This window comes from Homo sapiens, chromosome 9 (assembly GCF_000001405.40).
Source record: "Homo sapiens chromosome 9, GRCh38.p14 Primary Assembly".
Classification (NCBI taxonomy): domain Eukaryota; kingdom Metazoa; phylum Chordata; class Mammalia; order Primates; family Hominidae; genus Homo; species Homo sapiens.
Window position 1 is genome coordinate 107,212,883 of NC_000009.12, and position 21,726 is coordinate 107,234,608.

The following is a 21,726-nucleotide window of genomic DNA, read 5'->3' on the forward strand; positions in this document are numbered from 1 at the left end:
CTAATGAGATAGGTCTTTATCCCCATTTCACAATTGAGGAAACTGAGGCACAGAAAGGTTGCTGAACTGCCCCCAAAGTCTTGGGTTGTAAGTGGCAGAGTCAGGATTTGATCCCAGGTCTGGAACCTAACATTTCAATCTCCACGCATCCTATGTAGAACTAGCAGAGATCTGAGAAATCAAATAGGGATTTGGGGCCAGCACCATCCAACCAATTTAAATAATCAAACTCCGGGTATCCCTGCCCTAGATCTCCAGCAAATGAAGCTACGGCCCAGGTGGAAAGTGTAGAGCTGGAATGTGAAGCTGTGGGCTGCCCTCCGCCTCTGCATTAGAGTATCTCTTACACAGCCCTAGTTCTCTGAAGTTCCTTCCTGTGCCCTCTGCCCTACTCACCTTCACTCAGCATCCAACACAATGCGGGTGGATCACATGTGTCCAAAGATAAACTTAGCAGGCTCACTATACATTGCATGATATGCTACATACTGTATGTTAAACTAAAATGTGCTTCATTTGGGAACACCCCTTTTTTTATGAGTGTACATCAAAAATGCAAACTATGAAAGGCAAATATTTCTTACGGTTTCGTAATTCTTAACAAAAAAAGAAAAAGAAATGCTAGCTATGAGGTCTTTTGGAAGAATTGGGCTATTTTGTTTGCTAGAATAGGAGACAGGGCTTTTTCAATAGGTTATTTCTCACGCTGCATGGATGCGTTAAGCGAGGGCTCTCACCTTCTAGTGGCTGCCCCAAGAACGATGTGGTTCATTAGTGTGTTCAAGCCCTTTCCTTGGTTCTGGTACTTTACATGAGTCAACACCATTACCCTCTGAGTCATTTCCTGTAACCCTGGTTCACAGGCTTCCACATCACAAGTTGTGTTATTTCTGCTTCTCTTCAACAAGTGCCGTTGCATACACCCAATCCAGGCCCCTCCAAATCACTTTTCTCCTAGATTTCTGCCCCAGGCATCACAAATTCCTTTCCCTCTGGTTTCTGAGAATGATCTTACTATGCACCATCTTTAGTGAGCTCCTTTCAATAGTTTCCACTCGTGGTTAAGCACTTTCTCCCCTCAGCTAAACCAACTGTGTATCCTTCCATTGAAATGTCCCACTAGTAGAACAAACTGGCTTTTCATTCATCACTCTCAACACATGATGTTCTTAAATTGTTTTTTAAAATGCATGTGTGGCCGGGTGCGGTGGCTCATGCCTGTAATCCCAGCACTTTGGGAGGCCGAGGTGGGCAGATCACCTGAGGTCAGGAGTTCGAGACCAGCCTGTCCAACATGGCAAAACCCTGTCTCTACTAAAAATGAAAAAATTAGCCAGGCGTGATGGTGGGTGCCTGTAGTCCCAGCCACTCAGGAGGCTGAGGTAGAAGAATCATTTGAACCTGGGAGGCAGAGGTCGCAGTGAGCCGAGATCACGCCATTGCACTCCAGCCTGGGCAACACAGTGAGACTCTGTCTCAAAAATAAATAAATAAATAAAATTAAAATGCGTGTTTGTGTGTTAGCAGTCAATACCACAAATTTTTATTCATATTACTAAGCAAAAACTAGATTTAAGAAAACTAGATTTAAGTTTAAAATATCGTGTAGATATATTCATCCCAGCAAATTCCATTGTCAATTCTTATGTAGGACTTTGTAGCATTGATGACTTGGCTAATAAAAATGCTGTCGGAAGTTAAGAACTACTTCTGGGCTAGTGCTCCCTTTCAATAAGAGTTCTTAAAAACACTTGACCAAACTAGGGAACTTGGTTATGCATTACAGATTTTTCTCTCTACACAAGCCACCATTTTTAAGCAAAGAAGGAGTCAGTGCAATTGTCAGAAAAGTGTCAACCATTCTCTCCAATTTATTTGATATAAAAAAAATCTGGTTTAGGATATGTATTCAGAATACAGACTATTTGTGAGGCATGATGCTGGTACCTGGTAAAGACAGGATTTCTTTCTTTTTTGTTTGTTTGTTTTTTACTGAAATGGCCATTGGGATGTTGCTCAGAGTTTTTTAGTGTGGGGAGGCTGAGAGGCTCTCAGGCTCTTTGGAATGAACTTATTTTTGGAAAATTACCAAGATTGATCACATAGTTACATAAGTATAAAGCAAGTACCCATTTCTTGTCCTTGGCGACAGCAGTGAAGTCACCATAAATCTGAATGCTGATGGTGCAGATTAAGATGCCAACTCTTTTGGCCAGTGATGTAAGTACGTATCTTTAGCCAGGACCATGCCCTTGAAGAGGGGGAGAAATGTTTTGCCCAAATGTGAATCTAGGGCATTGGTATTTAAGTGGTATTTGAAGAGTAAATGATAACAACCTTGTGGAATGTACTTTCAACAATTTGGGTACTTTCAACTTTTTTTGAAGCACAGTTTTTAAAGACTTTTTAAAAGATATTTTACATTTTACATTGTATTCCAGTAAACACACGCAACAAATATCTTAACAGTAACAAAATTTCATTAAGCAATACTTATCTTTATTATATGTAATGCTTTCTGCTATGTCTATATATTCCTATTTCATTGTTTTTAATGTTGGTCATGTCCCATTTAATTGATACTACAACCTGTTAATGGTTCGTAATTTGTAGTTTGTAAAACACTGAACTATTGTGATTGCTTTATCTGGATCCAGTGGTCAACCACATTCTGTGAAGGGGAGTGGTTAAGAAATGAGTAAGCCTTCCACTGAGCAGAGGAGCACCTTCTCCAGTCTGTGGAGTCCAGGAGGTTTGGGGCCTTAGACTTTAAGGTTTGAGGACCTGTAGTGATGACAGCAAGGTACTATAAAATACTTCAACATAGACAGTGAGATACTACATATGTGCCAGTTAGTTGCAGCTTTAATTAGGAGCGGCCAGGGGTGGTCAGCTGGCACTTTCACCTTGAGTCCGCCCACCAGTGCTTCTGTTGTCTGCATCTCAATCAATAGTCAAAGCTTCACCATTGAATAACTTACACACTGAATATCAAAAATGGGTTTTTATTGGCCGGGTGTGGTGGCTCACACCTGTAATCCCAGCACTTTGGGAGGCCAAGGTGGGCAGATCATGAGGTCAAGAGATCGACACCACCCCGGCCAACACGGTGAAACCCCGTCTCTACTAAAAATACAAAAATTAGCTGGGCGTGGTGGCACGCACCTGTAGTCCCAGCTACTCAGGAGGCTGAGGCAGTAGAATCATTTGAACCCAGGAGGTGGAGGTTGCAGTGAGCCGAGATCACGCTATTGCACTCCAGCCTGGTGACAGAGCGAGACTCTGTCTCAAAAAAAAAAAAAAAAGGAAGGGGGTTATGCAACATCGTGTTCTATTGATTCACTTAACCAATTTCAGAAATGATCTTTTGTTGGTAACATTAGAAGAATTCTTAATGTGTGGACTGGCTAAAATATCTCTACCCCCATCTAATCAGAGTATTAGAATCCAGGGAATCTGGTAGCCTACTACTCTGGGAGACTTGATTGCTAAAAGGCTCTATGTGCAGCCATCGGTGTGTAGCCATCGATGTGGAATATCCTTGCTATCTGATGTTGACTATAAGGGTAACAGAATCCTGCCTCTGAAGTATTGGCTTTTGTCTCCAGTGAACAGAAGTTCACGCGAGGTGTTCATCAGAGCATGTAAAAGGCCAGACAGGGGCTATGACTTCATCAAGCCTCCAGAATAGGTCATATGAGCCATTTTGTGCTCACTTTCTAGTGAATGTGTGTTTAGCAAATGCCTGCTTGTGTAGCAGAATTTGGTCTGAGAATTGCTTTCATTGTAACCCAGTAGTGAGGTTGTGTGGGAATGGCAAACTGTTACCCCCCCCCTCAAACTTTGGGTGGTTTGTGTTATCTTAAAAAAAAATAATAAAACCTAAGAGCTGTGATTATCAAATTGATTATATTCAGTTCATAGGCCCCTTCCTCACTCGCAGATATGTGTGGAGAGTGAAGGATGCTGGAGAAGCAGATAACTTGGGGAATGAATGGTTGATAAACATGCCCAACAGCACAGGTGTGTGGGGCATGGGAACGATCCCTGGATTCCCAGAATTCAATTGTGGAGGAAAACTCAACAGAGGAAGGGTGTTCAAAGGATGGGGGCTCAGGGCCATATTACTCTAGATTGTAAAAGGAAATATGACCTTATTTGGTAGTCAAAGGCTGGTGAGGACTGGAAATCCACAGGTCATATTTGAAATCACAGTCTACAACAAGAAGGCTTTTGTTGGCATTCCACTCCATATAAACATTAACATTTAAGTTATGAAGTAGACTTTCTCAGGGTAATATTGTAGAGGAAAATGTGGAGAGACTCCATGTGTTCCTGAGATGCACCCACTGCTGTGTCCCAGGCCTTTCTGACAAGTCAAACAAAGGGAAAAGCCCTAATGGAATAACCATTGAGGAAGGGGCTATCTGCATTTTGGGACTATTTGGAAGGAAGCTAGTAGAGAAGGCTTGAGAAGTGTCTGGGAGAGATGAAGATGGGAGGAAGAGCTTGAGATCTGTGTTGCCTATCGCTCCCTGGCCCAGCTCCATGAACTAGGTCTGATCTGTCTGGGCCATAGGCAAAATCAAAAGGAGACACTAGGATGTTGCACACCGTGCATTGGGCCTCAGAAACTAAGTATAACACCAAAGGGGAGAGGAAATTTTCTTTTATTGCTGTATGGATCCAACACAGAGAAAATCCAAGAGATTGCAGAGCCATGTAGGAGCTAGAGAGTCAGGGTCTACATCCTGGGTATCACCTGGAGAGTGCAGACTCAGCACAGGCATCAGCATTGTCACCCAAGACATCAGTGACAGTACTGAGGCACAACTGCCGAGGGGCGTTCAGTGGACATTGACCGTGTAAGCCAGAGAGGAAGAACTTAAGATTAGGGTCATGCAGTTCGGAGCAAGAGCCAAGAAATTTTCATCTTTACCCTCAGTGTGCCTCCGTTGTACCTAAATATACAGGTAAGACTTGAGGAAATTTGAATTATATTGGAGAATCTTATTGGAATTATGATGATTTTGGATTTTTCCACAAAAGTAGAGCCCAAGACAAGCGTTTGTGCCAGTAGTTTATCTGGGAAATGATCCAGGAAAGAGAGGATAGGAGGGAACAGCACTGTGAGAGGACATTATCAAGTTGGTCACCGCTTTGTGACTAGGGCTTGACCCCACTAAGACCTTCTGAGGAGCCATGTAGAATATGCCTCATTTATCCGTCATTTATCTATCAGCTCTCATCCCCCATTAGAAAAGGGATGCCCTGTTGGGCTTTAACTCCCCTGCCCTTTCAAGGTACACATGCCTGAGTGGGTTTCCACAGCCATCTCACAGCACAGCATTTGAGAAGTCCCAGGGCAGAAAAATGTGATGCAGATGAAGTGAGGCACTGTCAGAATATATTTGTGCAAAACTAGTTGCTGCAGCAATGACTGGAGTAAAATATACACTGAGAAGCTGTGAAGATGTGAAGTGGTACACACAAGATGTCTGACAGAGTACATCTCCTGCACTGCTCAGCTCCACTCATGCCCTACATTATTAAATCCTGTTCACCAGAGAGCTCAAGGTGGTGGCCAACCACAGTCTCTACAAAGGTTTTAATATGGAAAGCTTCCTGAATAAAGCTATAGTCCCTATTGCTGCAACTGGTGGAAGGGGTTTGATGCAATCAAACTGTTACTAGGTGCCTGTTTGGTCTCTTCAAGTGATGGGGCCATTTAGAGCATTAATATCAGTCTCTGTTGTTGCCAGGTTGGGCCCTCAGCTTTAATGAGATGGAATCCAACGCCATTGCAGTCATGTATAACTTCCATCCTTGTACCATATAACCACTCCACCATAAGCCCATTGCACAGAGCTGGAGTGGCTGAGACAGAGGGTGGCTGAAATCTGCAGGACAAGTGATCTGTCAACTCAATTGATGACGGCCTCCTCCAGATGACTGTTCTTCACTGGGCATTACCATGAGACACAGAAAGCCAATGCTTTATGCTTACTTTCATGGGTCCATGGACATGCCTCTTACTTACACTTCTTGTCTTTGATCGTCCAAGCTTGCCTTTTTTAGGGCCTTGATTAACGACCCAAACCATTTGCCACTGCCCAAGACTCTACGTACATTGCCACTTCAGGGCATTTCGCCCACCATAAAAAGTAACTGCCACTGCACTGTTCTCAGCTTTACTCACTTCCCCTTTACCACTTTCTTTTAGGGGAACACCCTTCAAGGCCATGCCTGGGTGCTATATCCCCCGATCTTATGATTCTGAGGGCAGAATCATGCCCAGATCATGATGGGTAGCATCTATTCATAATTATTTGATGTCCTATAGCCAGGTACTCATTCTCTATTAGAAGCCAGAACATGCCAGGAGGTGCTCTTCAAATGGAGACTATTTCTCTGCTGCAGAAGGCATGTCCTTTGCCCCAGAACCCTACTGATGTATATTATGATGCTCTTATTGGAGTTTGCAAGAATATCCACACACCTTGTTTATCCACAACAGACTCCTTTAGCACCATTAACCTCGTTGGCTTATATCCAGCCTGGACCTGCTGCAAAGCTCTCTCTTGCTCTGGCAGTACTCCCAAGGGCTTCCCTCCAAATTCTAAGCAGCTTACCAAGCACCATGACTCTTTCTCAGTGGTAGGAGGATGCGAAGTGCAACTACTTGTCACTTATCTCAAAAAGCATGTCCTGGTAAGTCCCAGACCATTGAACTTCTAAAATATTCATTGACTTGGAAAGCCCCTTAATCTTTATGGGGTTGTCTCCTGCCCTCTGGCATGCATTTGTCCTATTAGAACATCCAGACTACTTGTCACTTCCTACTCACCAGGTCCAATTAGCATGATGTCACTAATGTAGAGGATCCTCATGACATTCTGTGAAATGCCATAATGATCAATGTTCTCGTAGACTATATTATGGCAGCAAAAAGTAAGATAACATCTCTGTGTCGAGGTAGTGAATGTATACTTGCATCCCTCCCACATGTGAACTTACTTTTGAGCCTCCTGAGTCATGGGTATTAAAGAGAATGCATTTGCCAGATTAATTACCACATACATTATACCAGAATAATGAAAGCTGTGCTGATCTACCCAGGGAAAAACTCCACATTTCTCCACAGCGTCTGTAATTGGGGCCATCATCTGCCATAACCCTATGGCTTTTATAAAAGTCATACAGATAATCAAATAGGAATATGATAAGGACCACCATCCCTACAGCCTTTAAATCTTTAATGATGACATTAGCCTCTGCAATTCCTCCCAGGGTATGGTATTGATTCTGAGTTACTATCTCAGTCACAAAAAGACAAATGAGGGGGTTCCCACAGCTTCAGGGCCTTCCACTTAGTCCTTTCTTCCCTGATGGCACAACACAGAATATGCCATAGTGTTTTCTGCCCAAGGAATGGATGGAGGTAGCCCTTGTCCACTGGCTTTTATCTCCCTATTAGTCAGGATTGCCCCTGATCTTCAATCCCTCAACCCTTCCAGATTTTGCATGCATGAGAGCTAAGTAGCCACCATATCAGTGATGTTCCAGGGCATAAGAACAGATGCAGCTGAATGGAGGTACTATCAAAATACACCTGCACAAAGCTAGTTGTCACATCTGTAATTAAAGCAAATGGTGGCCAAGAAAATGTGAGGTGGTGTACACAAGTTATCCTATATGGTGGTGCACTACCAATCTTTACTGCTTACTAATTAGTTATGACCTCCCACATCCCCATCTAATTCATTACTAATTAATTGCTACCTCTAGAATAGCACAACGTTGGCTTGCCCAACTCCTAACTTCATGATGCCATTAAGTAAAAGACTAGGCCTTCCACAAATTGTCTTGGTCCTTAGACTTTTCACATACCTCCCAAATGAAAAAGAAAGTGGGATGGGCATAGTGGCTCATGCCTGTAATCCCAGCACTTTGGAAGGTCGAGGCGGGAGGATCACTTGAGGTCAGGAGTTCAAGACCTGCCTGGCCAACAGGGTGAAACCCTATTTCTACTAAAAAATATAAAAATTAGCTGGGCCTGGTGGCACACACCTGTAATCCCACCTACTAGGGAGGCTGAGGCAGGAGAATTGCTTGAACGCAGGAGGCAGAGGTTGCAGTGAGCGGAGATCGCACCACCGCACTCCAGCCTGGGCTACAGAATGAGACTCTGTCTCAAAAGAAAAAGAAAGTGATTGAAACTTCTCTGGTGGAGGATTAGAATTCCTGGAATAGGTATATTCATTCTAACTGGGTTTATCAAATCAAAAAAGAATCCTAGTCAATTTCATGTGACCCACAGAAAGCATAGAATGCCATAGGCCCCCCTGAGAAGTGTTAGATGAGGCAGGGTCCTGAAAGATGTCGTGAAGAAGCTAGCCTCTACATTCAATTATAAAATTTAAAAAGTAAAAGCCTAGTTTTTCATAAGCTAAAAGGGAGTATATGGCCCACTTGATGAGAAGTCCCTTTCCTTCCCTAACTACTTGGAAGAAATACCCTGTCAAGTGAGTTGAGGCCCTAGGATAGGCAATTAAGTGAGCAATGAAGCCTATGACAGCAGCTTCTTGATTCCCAAGACAAAGACTGGGGAAGGAGTAGTGCCAGACCCTGAAAAGGAAGCTTAGGAATTGTCCCTGGATTGAGGCTCAGCAGGGCTGCAGTGCCGGTTCCCTGAACAACACAGAGAAGAGGAAGTTTAAAAATCCACAGGAAGAGCCTCAGTTAGGTACAAACGATAATCCTTATATTCAGAGGGATATACAGTTCATGAAACTTTTGCCTCAAGGTTTTCTTCTTTTGGTTTGATCTTAACTACAAGGGAGCAGGGGGCGTACCCTGTAGCCTCTCCTTCTGATCCCCTTCTGATGTCTAAACCTTTAAATTTGATTTTCCTTTTTTGGCCCTGAACCCTTGAAGAGCAGAAAATTAACATTGTGTTTCTAAATTTGTCCAGAACAAATGTTCACTGCTGCTGTAAGGATTCTCTTCCTACTCAGGTGTAAAGCTTTCAACCCCTGGATCAAAAGTTGATATGTTGTCCCTTTTTTGCTTATCTATCTTTTCTAAATTTTCTATAATGAACATGTTCAGGCAGTCCTTGCTTTGCACAAATTCCTGTGTGCACAAATTTCAGTTACCATGGTTTAAATAACACCAGTCCCCCAGCAACACGGTTCAAATTCCAGTTTCCACGGTATATTAACTGTGAAACTTCCCTGCTTAGTCTTGAGTACACAAATCACTACATAAATAATGGATGTACATCATCATCATTAGCCAACCACGTCCCTCCTTTCAGTTCGTCCAGGCTCGGTCACTGCACATCTGTTATTCAGTTCACTCACAGACAGCAAACCAAGGGGTTGTGCTGTCTCCTTGTCTCCCAGGGATAAACCCACATGACAGTTTACAAAAACAGGTAATCATAAGAAGCAAATGGCCCAGATGAAACACAGCAAAAGAATGAGAAGTGGTAACACTGGGAGTGAAATTTGAACCAAGCGTAAATGGAGTGATCGTAGAAATAGCTGACTGTGGAATGTGGACACTCTCTGTATCTGCAGCCTGGGAAGCTTAAAGAAGGTGAACTTACTGACACCAGTTAGAAAGTGACTGTGATGAAACGATGAAGATGCTCCAGAGGAAGTGACACCAGCAATAGGAAAAAAAAAACAAACCTCTCACTGAAGGAACTCTCGGAGATATTTCATGACACAGAAGGCACAAAGGATACAATATTGGCAACTAATCGAAACTTAGAAATGATATGACAGCTCACCAAGGCATAGAAAAAGATGCTTGCTCTATCATAAGTTATAGAATGAGAAGAAGGTAAGCACCATTCAAACTATTTTTGATAAGTTTTTTACACAGACAAAAAACCTTTAATTCTCAGTACTTCCAACATTCTAAATTACAGAGTACTAAATAAATGTGAGCTTTACTATTTTTTCATTACTCTACATATTTAGAATGGAAAGTAAGAGAAGATTTAATGTTATGACAAAATTTGTTAAAGGCTACAGGACAATCATAGTTTTTCCCATTGATCATGAAAATCACTGCAGAGTTTTAGCTTGCATGGTCATTTTTGTTGTTCCATACTACTGGCTAAAGCAGGGATTGCATGAGATGAAAAAGGTGCTTTTATTATGTGTTTTTGCTGGGCAAAATGGCTCACGCCTGTAATCCCAGCACTTTGGAAGGCTGAGGCGGGTGGATCACCTGAGGTCAGGAGTTCAAGACCAGCCTGGCCAACATGGTGAAATCTCATCTCTGCTAAAAATACAAAAATTAGCTGGGTATGGTGGCACATGCCTGTAATTCCAGCTACTCAAGAGTTTGAGGCAGGAGAATCACTTGAACCCAGGAGGCGGAGGTTGCCGTGAGCCGAGATTGCGCCACTGTGCTCCAGCCTGGGCAACAGAGTGAGATTCTGCCTAAAAAAGAAAGAAAGAAAGAAAGAGAGAGAGAGAGAGAGAGAAAGAAAGAAAGAAAATGTGTTTTTAAAAACTAACAAGGAACAGGAATGTTTTTTCTGCTACCTCGTGTTGACTAGTGTGTCTCTAAGATGAACTATATTCTTAAATAGCAAACATTTAAGAACTGATAAGCTTCCCCATACACAAGAATCGTAAATATCCAACTGCATACATGGTGCAGGTAAAATAATCTATTGCATCATTTTTACCATTTTTGGTGTAACAGAAATGGAAAAGTAATAGCTTATGAATTAGCATATTTATTTAATCTATCATTCAAAAAATACATCATCTAAACTTTTTCAACTGAAATATTTTTGGTTCTCAAAAAAATATGGAAAAAAAAATTCCCTAAAATATTCTCTAAACTTTCAGGTAGATGGGTTCTGTCTATGACTTTGCAATTTATTTATTTATTTAGAGACGGAGTCTCACTGTGTCGCCCAGGCTGGAGTACAGTGGCATGATCTCGGCTCACTGCAACCTCCACCTCCCGGGTTCAAGTGATTCTCCTGCCTCAGCCTCCCACGTAGCTGGGATTACAGGTACATGCTGCCACGTCCGGCTAATGTTTTGTATTTTTAGTAGAGACAGAATGGTCTCGATCTCCTGACCTTGTGATTCACCTGCCTCGGCCTCCCAAAGTGCTGGGATTACCAGCATGAGCCACCACACCCAGCCTGCAATTTATTTTTTAATAGATATCCATCCTAGCGTTTTCCAGGACCTGAAAGCTTTCATGAAAAAATAAATGTATTAAATATCTTCTATGTTTGAGGAGCTGTAATAGATTTGGGGAATATAGAAATGTTGCAAATGCTTAATTTTCAGTCTAGTATCCTGTAAAATGTTGTGTTTCTGGTAATGCTTGGGAGATTTTATCATTTTGGAAATGCTTTTGCTTAATTAGATTCGCTAGTGTTCTAGGAGCCAAGGATTCACAGACTGCACTTTTAAAGGGATGATATTTTCACATTTCCTTAGTACAGTTCTTTTAGTAACAATATTTATATAAAAATTATTATGACGTGTGAGTCATAATATTTGTTTTAATTCTCAAATTACCTGGTAACCACTGTTAATAGTTTGGTATATAAACACTAAGAGAGCCAGTAAGTAATTTGTTGTATTTACATTTGTACTTTTCTCTGTGCTATTACACACACTTACACACACACACACATACACATCTCACATGTACATAAATAGGTTAAAATTTATATCCTTTCTTCCAAGGAAAATGAGATTATCCTATAGACAGGTGTCTGAAACTTGCTTATTCACCTGTGAGTACATCACAAGTATCTCTTCAAATTAATACATGAATATCTAACTCACTATTTTTAATAGCTGCAAAATATTTCTCAGTATGGGAAGAGCATAATTTATTCAATGATCTCGCTACTGATGGACATTCACATTTAAATTTTGTCTGTTTTTTTTTAACCCCTATAAACGAAACTACAATAAACATTCATGTGTGCACACACATACATGGTATATTTTTGTGGATAGCCTCTGTAGCTGACTCTTCAACATCCACTCCCAGATAAACAGTCAAAGCCAAGGATAATTCTATCCCTTTGTTAACGATTGGTGATAAATGGACAAATGTCCATGATAAATGGACCCAGTTCTGGACAGTGAATGTGAGGGGAAGTTGATCATGGAAGTTGTGAGATATGATTCATAAAACTGCTTCAAGGCCGGGCGCGGTGGCTCACGCCTGTAATCTCAGCGCTTTGGGAGGCCAAGGTGGGCAGATCACGAGGTCAGGAGATCAAGAACATCCTGGCTAACACGGTGAAGCCAGTCTCTACTAAAATTACAAAAAATTAGCTGGGTGTGATGGCCCATGCCTGTAATCTCAGCTACTTGGGAGGCTGAGGCAGGAGAATAGCTTGAACCTGGAGGCAGAGGTTGCAGTGAACCAAGATCGCGCCACTGCACTCCACTCCAACCTGGGCAACAGAGCAAGACTCTGTCTCAAAACAAAACAAAACAAAAAAAAACACCTGCTTCAAACACCATGTTCCAACTCAAAGATAAAAATGACAAGGAGGGTAAAGAAAAGAGAAAGAGCCGGGATACTCAATGACATTTTGGCACACTGAATTAACCAACCTTAGCGTCTACTCTGTTTTCTGGGCTTCCTTTCAGGTGAGAGATACATTTCTTACTATTTAAGCCAATTTAGTTTTTCTGTTTGTTATAGCAAAGAACACATCCTATCAGACATACCTCATGTATAGTTTTATTTCTGTGACAAAAATTTCCAAAAGAGGGTTTGCTGTATTTTTACTGTATTTGAGTCTGACAGATTACAATCCAAAAATACTGTAACAATGCATACTTCTATCAGCAATGGTATATAGGAATGCCTATTTTCCCCATACTTTCACAAGGAAAGGAAAGTATCAACTATATGAATTGTAATTCAGTTTCAAGTAATAGGTAACTAACCCAAAGGGGCTTAAATTTAAAAGGGAGGTTATTTGGCTCATATAACTGAACAGTCCAAGAGTAGATGTGTATTCAGATAGGGCTTGGTTCACAATATATGTGAATCAATCCATGGAACAGAAGAATTAATGCAGGACAAGGAAAAAGAAATATATAAATATATAAAAATATATATAATATAAAATATATAAATATATAAATATATATGTGCACATGTGACACCACTATTTTAAATTTTTCCCAATATATGAAAAATATGGCATTTTACTAGCATTTTTCTAAGCAAAGTTAGTCGAAGTGAGATTTGAATACAAATCAAATGACTCAGAAATTCTTTTACCTATACCCTGTATTATATCCTTCACATCAGCTCCATTTGAAATCCTGAACTATAGAAAGCCATGAAAGAAATAAAATACTGTCTAGCAGTTCTATGAAGATTACAAAAGATTTAGAAATTCTGCCTGGGAAAACTTAGTGATATGCTAAATTTTTACAGCCTATAAAATAATGTATCTTCTCAAGAACAATTAAGGGTTTAATTGTTGCCTTTTGTTGAGGAAGAATCATGGAAAGATATTGAGTAGCAGGCAGAGGAAAGGAATCAAATTAGAGCCAGAAGGAATCAGTTTAGTCACAAAAATTCTGTTTCTCAACAGAAAAGGTCCCACACAGGGCTGGGTGTAGTAGGTCTGTGTTGCTTGTCTGCCCTGCACCCTCCTCCGGTTCACATGGTCCTGATGGAATTGTGAAAGATTGCCTCATCATCCTCAACTCGAGAGCCATCATGTGACCCAGGCCAACCAATCAATATGCCCCATCCCTCTGGTCATAGTGAATGGTTCTAAGATGGGCATGTGACATAAGTGGAGCCCATTAGAATCCTCCTTAGGACTTTTCTGCCAGAGTAATTAGAAGAGAATATCTCTTTTCCATTGGGGTTGATAGCCTGTCATCTTCATGAAGCCAGCTGTAGCCCTGAATTTCCAATTCGTGTGGTCAACAAATTTCTTATTTTGCCAGGGTTGCTTTGTTCAGTTTTCTGTTCTCCAACAAAATGTTTTTAAGCAATATTGTGGGTCACTCACAAGTCTGTTGTTGCTCCTTCTTCTGAGGCTATTAATATGAGAGAACTTATGTGCAGAAGGAGGATGGTCAAATGACACCTCTAGAGGTTGGTTGCATCTCATCAGGGATCTGTCTGATGGTGGATGTAATGGAAATAAAAGAGAATGCAGGGCTGGTGTGATTCTCACTTCAAATTCCCAGAAACTCATTCATTGACCCCACATTCTTTAAATACGATTTCAGAACTCATAGGTGAGACATATTTAAGTGATTTACAATACATAATGAATAAAGCTATAATCTTTTTTTCCTTTGAGAAAAAAAAGAAAAGAAAAGTTGATTCCTATTTACAATTATTCACACAAACCAGATTCTGGACCAAGTGTCAACTGCTGTGTGATTAGCCAAAAGAGTACTTCTTAAACAGTCCTTTCTAAAACTCAGCTAGTCAAGCCAATTTATCCATCAGGATGTGAGTTGGAAGCCAGGCTATGATGGTTAGAACCATAGCCAAATTAAAGCCTTTCTGAGAGCCTTTGTAACTTGGGGTTTGAAGGGAACAGAAGGAGCTGAACTGAGCTCTAACCCGAAGGTGTTTAGATTCTATGGAGAAGGAGAATAACGTCAGACTATGATAAGAATGGCCACCATTTGTGGAGCTGCTTCTACAGGCTAGGTACACTGCACGTTTTATCCCATTTAATCCTCACAACGATTTTGTAAAGGAGGCATAGTTAACCCATGAGTATTCACATGGGGAAACTGAGGCTCACAGAAATCAAGGTTTGTCCAGAGTTACATAACTGGTACATGAAGGATCTAGGCGTCATGTTCAGTTCTAGCTTGTCCAAGGTCTGTGCTTTGGGTCTCTTCCCTAAACTCCATGTTTTTCTCACAGCGTTATGTGGCCATCTACAGCTGAGTTTATTAAGTTTTGACTTAAGGCATTCCTTCCGGAACTAGATTTCTAGCCAAGACCTCTGAAGGAATCAGATTGCATCCACAGTTACTACAGTATTTCTTGGTCTTCTCTTCCAGAAGGGTGTTCTTCTAGAGGAACTGTTTACTGACTTGAAATGCTGTTATAAAATCTCAGTTCAAAGGTTGTGTATCTCCCAGGAAACAAATGGCTTTTTTATTCTTCGCCACTAGCTTAACACTGCATTATAGCTGCTCATAACAAGTCATGGTATGCTAATTTATGAGTCACATGACACAGTCAATTCATATTATAGACATTGCCCTGATTATATGTCTCCTTAACTGAAATGTTTACATAGTTGTGATGGAATCAATTTTATTAATTTTACAGCATTCACAGGTTTCTCCTCTTCCCAAGACTGCCAGAGAGATCCTGTAATTACCTGCCCGGTTTTTCTTCTTAGGAGACATGAGAAAAGAATAGAATTCCTCCAATTATTTTCTGCTTGTTTGTGCCTCTGTAAATTTGACTCTTCTCAGAGATGAAACCACCTGGGACACAGCTTCTTTAGAGTTGCACAGTGACACCTGCAAATAGTTAGCAGTGCACCAGGTACAGAAGCACACACACCTGGTGGCAGGGCAAGATGGGGTGATTCCTGGAGCCAGATCATCCCTGATGTGTTCCTTGCAGTGTTATCAGGGGGATTACAGGAAATAACATACACAAAAAACTGTTTCTTAACTGCAAAGCACTGTGCAAACGTGAGCTGTTAAGCCAGGTGGTGTGTGCAATGGAGATCACCTTTTGCCGGGGGGTAATCATTTCAGTTTACATAACACTTATCACTCCAGGAGCCCCAAGCCCTTGTGAATATTATCCTGAGAAATATCACTTGAAATGAAATGCGCATGCATAAACAGAGTCTAGCAAATGGAGGCACCAATTATGATGACAATGACGAAGGTCTTAAATGAGAACATAAACATTTTGACATGTCAGCTCCCAAGGATGTTGCCACTGTAGTCACAACACCTTCTGAGGGAAAATCAATTCTCAACGTTAATGTTTCCCATGAGTGTTGACTCCTCGGGGGATGGGGGAGGAAGAGGGAAACAAAAGTGGAAAAACATTTTAAAATATGAATTTTATTTTCCATAGCAGTATATCAGAAAACTCAAATATAACTCCACAACTTTTTCAAGAGTTTCTTTTTGTTTTCCAATGGTAACGGGAGAGAAAATAAGCTGTCATTATCGGAATGATCAAACACAGAGAGAAAAGAGGCAGAGGTAAGTAAAACACCAATTACAGTGTTGCCAATCTGTGTGAATTGGGATTCTTCCAAACAACAGTGCAAATGGATTTGAGGATGTGGGGAAGGGGATACGGAGGGGGCAGGGAAGAGAGAGCTGCCAAAATACAAGACAGGGAGGCTTAGAGAAATTGCCCCTTGGCGCTCTGGCAGCAGTTTAATCAGCCAGAGCCCTGTACATTCCCATGCACCAATTCCATTGTGTATGTTCACTTGCAGATTTGGCTTCTGGCTTGCTCTCTTTGTTTGGGTAGCTAGGCATGAAAAAGAATCATCTGCAACCAGAGCTCAACTTAATTCCCAGTTCCTCTCTGGAAACTATCTGTTGGCATCATGAAATGTTCTGTGTAAAAGGCCATGCTTTGACTGATCAAAAGTGGGATTTCAGACCCTCCATCAGAGTCTTTGTGGATGAAACTCAGCCAATTCTCGGAAAGTGACAGAAGAGGCCTGCACCTCTGGCATAATTTGCGTCTCCCCAGCATCTCACTGTTCCTGCCAATGACAAACAGGAACCCCCGACAATTTTTCCTCTCTCTCCTGGCAATGCAATGATGGCCCAGCTGTTTTCTCACTATAAAAAGGCAGTCACTTCTCTCTATCACTACAGTCTATAGCAAAAGGTCTACTTACATTACTGATTGAACAACCATGTATCATATGAAAAACCACAAAAGAAATTCACAGGAGAGGCTCTAAGATTGCTGATCATTTTATCCACATCCCAGTGTCTACATCTGAGCATGGTGCTCGGTAGATATTGCATGAATGAAGGACAAGAAATTTGGAAAAATACTGCATTGTCTACTGTTTTCAGAAATATTTATGCAGGGTAATTTTAATGTCTGCCATTTTCCCTTGGGTCAGGGAAGCCACTGTATGATATTATAATTGCTTTGATTTGTATCGTGTTACCTACTAGGTTCAAGACACATTCAGGAGTGTTCTGAAAAACATAATAGAAATTGACAGAAAAAAGTGACTGAATAGACTTTCAGAAAATATGAAAGATTGAATACAGAAGTTTGTTTTCCCTTTTCCAAGCCCCTCTAAAATGACAGGAAAAATAAAAATAAAACATGGATCCCCCAAAACAAAGGAAACAGAAAGGGAAATGACCACAGATGATAGACAGCCACAAAATTTTGGACATGGCAACCCAAGAGGAGAGAGGGATGAGGCTACAGGAGGAGGAGTCAACCAGAAGAAGCAAACCAATTTATAGCTCAGAATCCCCAGAAAGTGTCAGGAATTGAGGATGCCAGCTGCCTCTGAAGGCAAATTGAAAACAAGACAATCAATTAAAAATCTTTGTAAGGAGTAGGCAAATTCTGAGGTCTCCTAATCAACCCTTTGTGGCCAGGTAGCCAACTCTCCCTACTCCAGCAGAGCACCAAAGATGTCCTCCCTGGAGATGTGGATGAATAGGTATTCCAGACTTGGGAACACCAGACACAGCTGAGGTACCACAATTAAATGGAGAAACTAAGCAAAAAATCACATTATAAACAAAAAATCTGACCCAACTCCACGCCCTTCTTTATGTCAATTCTCAGAAATACTGCATTGTCATTAAAGCTTAGAACTGTAGACAGGAGAGAGAAAACTAGTCATAAATAACTAGAAATAAGAATAGCATCATCTTCTCAATAGCAACAACGGCAGCTTGATCTCAATTTACTCTGATTCAATCCCACCCTCACACACCTCAAAATACTTGGTTCTGTGGCTTTGACTTCATGCATAGACTCCTATAAAATACTAGTGCTTGCCTCTTAAAGCATAGCATATCCATCCAGCCCCTGTGACCAAAGAAATGGTCTTGGCTCTCATCCTAAAGAGATATTAAGAAGCAGCCTTAACAAAGGAAAAGACCAGCATGGATTGTGCCCCTAGACCTTCTATTCTTTGGATAGTACTTTACCCTTAATTCCCTGTTCTCCTCTTTTGATTATAACCTAATTGGCAACTGTAGCAGCCAATCTCAGATATGTTCTTGATTTCTGCAATGTAGCCAAAGGCGGATTTCATCACATTCTCCTTTTTTTACTTTTTGCTGGTGATGGAAGGAGCAATTGGTTCATGAGCTTGGTTTGATGATTAAATAAATGGCTTGGTGACATTTGGAGTGTCAGCTTTCCAGATCTGCAATCACCACAAAACTGCAGACACAGATAACGAACCTGGGGTGGAGTTGCTGGGTTCAGAGACCATAGATTGGATATTACCTCACCATTAGAACATCAGTCTTGATTTCCCTTTCTTGGCTGCATTTAGAGGCTAGATGCCCGCTCCTCCACAACTATGTAATGGAGACAAGAAGGTGGTACAAAGAAAGTCCACCACAGTTTATGGAGCCTGCAGAAGCCAGTGTGCTTGACACACACTGTCATCCTGTTGTTGCAAGTATTCTTTTTATAGTGGAGGAGGAGGACGAAGAGGAGGAGATCACATTTTAAAAAGAATGATCTCATCTTTTTAGGTGAGAAGATGGAGAAGATGAATACATTTGCTTTCAGCAAACCAATGGAAGTCCATTTGCATGATCTGAAAAGGAAAATGAGAAGCTAATTTTTCTATACAAGGCAGAATTTAAGAAATACAATTCCTAAGGACTCCAGTGGATACAGCTCTGGTTCCTGGACTTCGTGTTTTGGCTTGGTCTTTCTGCTTTTTCAATTTTGTCACTGGTAAGACTGGCCCCACCTCACCCATGAGGAGCACATTTTCAAGGTTAAAATGCTGAGTTAATTAGAGAAAGTGGTGTTATTAACTGAATGGCAATAGAGAAGCAGCAGCAATTGAGGGAAAGGAGATGATAAGTTGTTTTGGGGCATGGTGAATTTGAGATATCTTGCAGAACATTCAGATCAAGGTTCTTATGACCCCTGAAGTTGTCACGTGTTAACCAGAAAACAGATCTGCCAGGTGCGGTGGTTCACACCTGTAATCCCAACACATTGGGAGGTCGAGGCGGGAAGATCACTTGAGGCCAGAAGTTCAAGACCAGCCTGGCCAACATGGCAAAACCTTGTCTCTACTAAAAATGCAAAAAATTAGCCTGGTGTGGTGGCAGGTGCCTGTAATCCCAGCTACTTGGGAGGCTGAGGCATGATAATCATTTGAACCTGGGAGGCAAAGGTTGCAGTGAGCCAAGATTGCACCACTGCTCTCCAGCCTGGGCAACAGAGTAAGAGTCTGCCTCAAAAAATAAAATAAAATAAAATAAAATAAAATAAAATAAAATAAAATAAAATAAAATAAAGGAAAAGAAAACTGGGATCTGAGCTAGGGCATCAATCAAGTTTAGTCTGGTAGATTTGATTAGAGGATAAAATTAAAGTCTTAATCTTTTATAAAACCATCAAGGGATAAGGTAAAGAGTTTTTTCTAAAAAAAAAAAAAAAAAAGGCTGTTTCAGTCAGGCCACAGCTAGATTATGCTACAGTAACAAACAACCCCAAAATCTCAGTGACTTAATACATGACAGTTTTATTTCTCATCCATTCTTTATGTCAAGAGCTGACTATGAGTTCTGCTCAGCATCATCTCGCCCTGGGATTTGAGCTGATGAGCAAACCACCCACCTGGAACATTGCTAGTTTCTACAGCAGAAAAAAAGGAGGATCTCACGCTGGCAATTAGATATTCTAGCCCAGATATGACAGACATTATCTTGCTCATATATCAAAGGCCAGGAGTCATCACATAGCCCCACTCAACCACCAAGGAGGCAGGAAATATCATCCAACCATGAGTCTGGAAAAAGGCGTGCTGCCATCAGTGAGCCATGTTAATAACTACTTTAAGGCCCAGGGCAGAATTCGTATAAACATGCTGCTTCAGAGATGTAAGAACTAAGAGTTAGCATAGAAAGAAGTTAATGAAAGAACCATCAGACATAGGAGGAGGACCAAAAAAGCAAGAGTCATGGATGACCAGGAGGAAGAAGAGACAGTGAAGAAAGATGCAAGTGATCAATGCAGTAGTTTCTGATAGGAAGGTGCACCATGCACAGTTAAGACAGACAGATTTAAGAAGGCCAACCAGCTGTCTCACAAGGGGAGCTTCAAAATGGCACTCATCTCCTTGATGGATTTCTCAGGATCGCAGTTTCCTTGCCTCAGCCCAACCCTAACACCACATCTAACCTTAGTTATTATGATGCACACGTGGGGTTGCCTGTTGCCACTGAACATTCTAAATGTCTAATCCAAACTCTCTTGCTCTGGTGTCATTCTTATTAAGCAAACTACTGTTTATGGTTTGGCTTCCCTTGAATATCTATCTTCGGTAAGAGAAAATGTTAGTCATACAGACTTAGAGCATTTCAGACCACATGACAACTCCACTATTAATTGGGTAAGTTTAAAACCCAGTATTCTGATACTTCAGTGTGATGAACTTGGTATATATGAGTCTCCCGCCAAATGGTTCCACCCCTGATATGCAGGCAAATATAAGGCCCATGAGCTTTATGTGTAATATCTGATTTTTCTATGAGCATTTAGCAGTAAAGAAAAAGCCAATAAAGGCAAATTTCCTATTGAAGAGAGACAGAGGGGAGAATAAAAAGGAGAATTCAAGAAGGGGGAGAGCTGGATAACAAGGAATTAAGCAATAAATGAAATAGGGAAAACAGAGACCATGAGTGGAGACTGCAATTTCAGACATTTAAAGAGCTTGGTGGCCTTTTTGTTTTTGCTGAATTTAAAATGGGACTGCAGGTCCAGTGCGGTTGCTCACCCCTGTAATCCCAACACTTTGGGAGGCCAAGGAAGGCAGATCACTTGCGGTCAGAGGTTCGAAACCAGCCTGGCCAACATAGTGAAACCCTGTCTCTACTAAAAATACAAAAATTAGCTGGGCATTGTGGCCGATGCCTGTAATCCCAGTTACTTGGGAGGCTGAGGCAGGAGAATCACTTGAACCTGGGAGGCAGAGGTTGCAGTGAGCCAAGGTCGCACCACTGCACTCCAGCCTGGGCAACAGAGCGAGACTCCATCTCAAAAAATAAATTAATTAATTAAGTAAAATAAAATGGGACTGTAATTGTTTACAGATTACAAAGTGAGTATAATTTGGCAAAAAATTTAAGGTTATTGATGGTGGGATGAAAATACCAAACCTGATTACATGCCAGAAGACAAATGTGTATCAGATTTTTCTATTTCTAAAAATAAGCATGCTATGAATTGCTACATAAATTATATTAGGGTAAGATTATATACTACAATACTGTATACAATAATAGGCATTATAATATAATAAATTATAACTCATTATAAACTGATACAATACACTTCAGTCATCAAAACTAGATTGTTAGTGAGTATTACACGACACAGGAAAAAAAGATGGCTGCTATATAATCTTCAGGGAGTAAAACAGCAGGATTTTTTCAGAGTATGTGCACTATTTTATCAGCTTTGAAAAGTAGAAAAGACTGGGAAATC

At 41.0% G+C, this 21,726-nt stretch overlaps 1 long non-coding RNA gene across 1 annotated transcript, besides 1 other annotated feature; it reads left to right on the forward strand.

Moving 5' to 3' along the window:
- Nucleotides 6,275-6,334: an enhancer, noted in NCBI's record as "active region_28749". NCBI's record gives its function as "activates an Ori minimal core promoter by ATAC-STARR-seq in GM12878 lymphoblastoid cells {active_cell/tissue: GM12878}" and the evidence as "EXISTENCE:reporter gene assay evidence [ECO:0000049][PMID:35858748]".
- LOC107987110 (uncharacterized) lies at nucleotides 9,355-19,257 on the forward strand. The gene is made up of 3 exons (XR_001746873.2): nucleotides 9,355-9,852; nucleotides 16,117-16,247; nucleotides 18,753-19,257. It is a non-coding gene; the product is annotated as an uncharacterized LOC107987110 (long non-coding RNA).
- The last annotated feature ends 2,469 nt before the right edge of the window (nucleotides 19,258-21,726 follow it).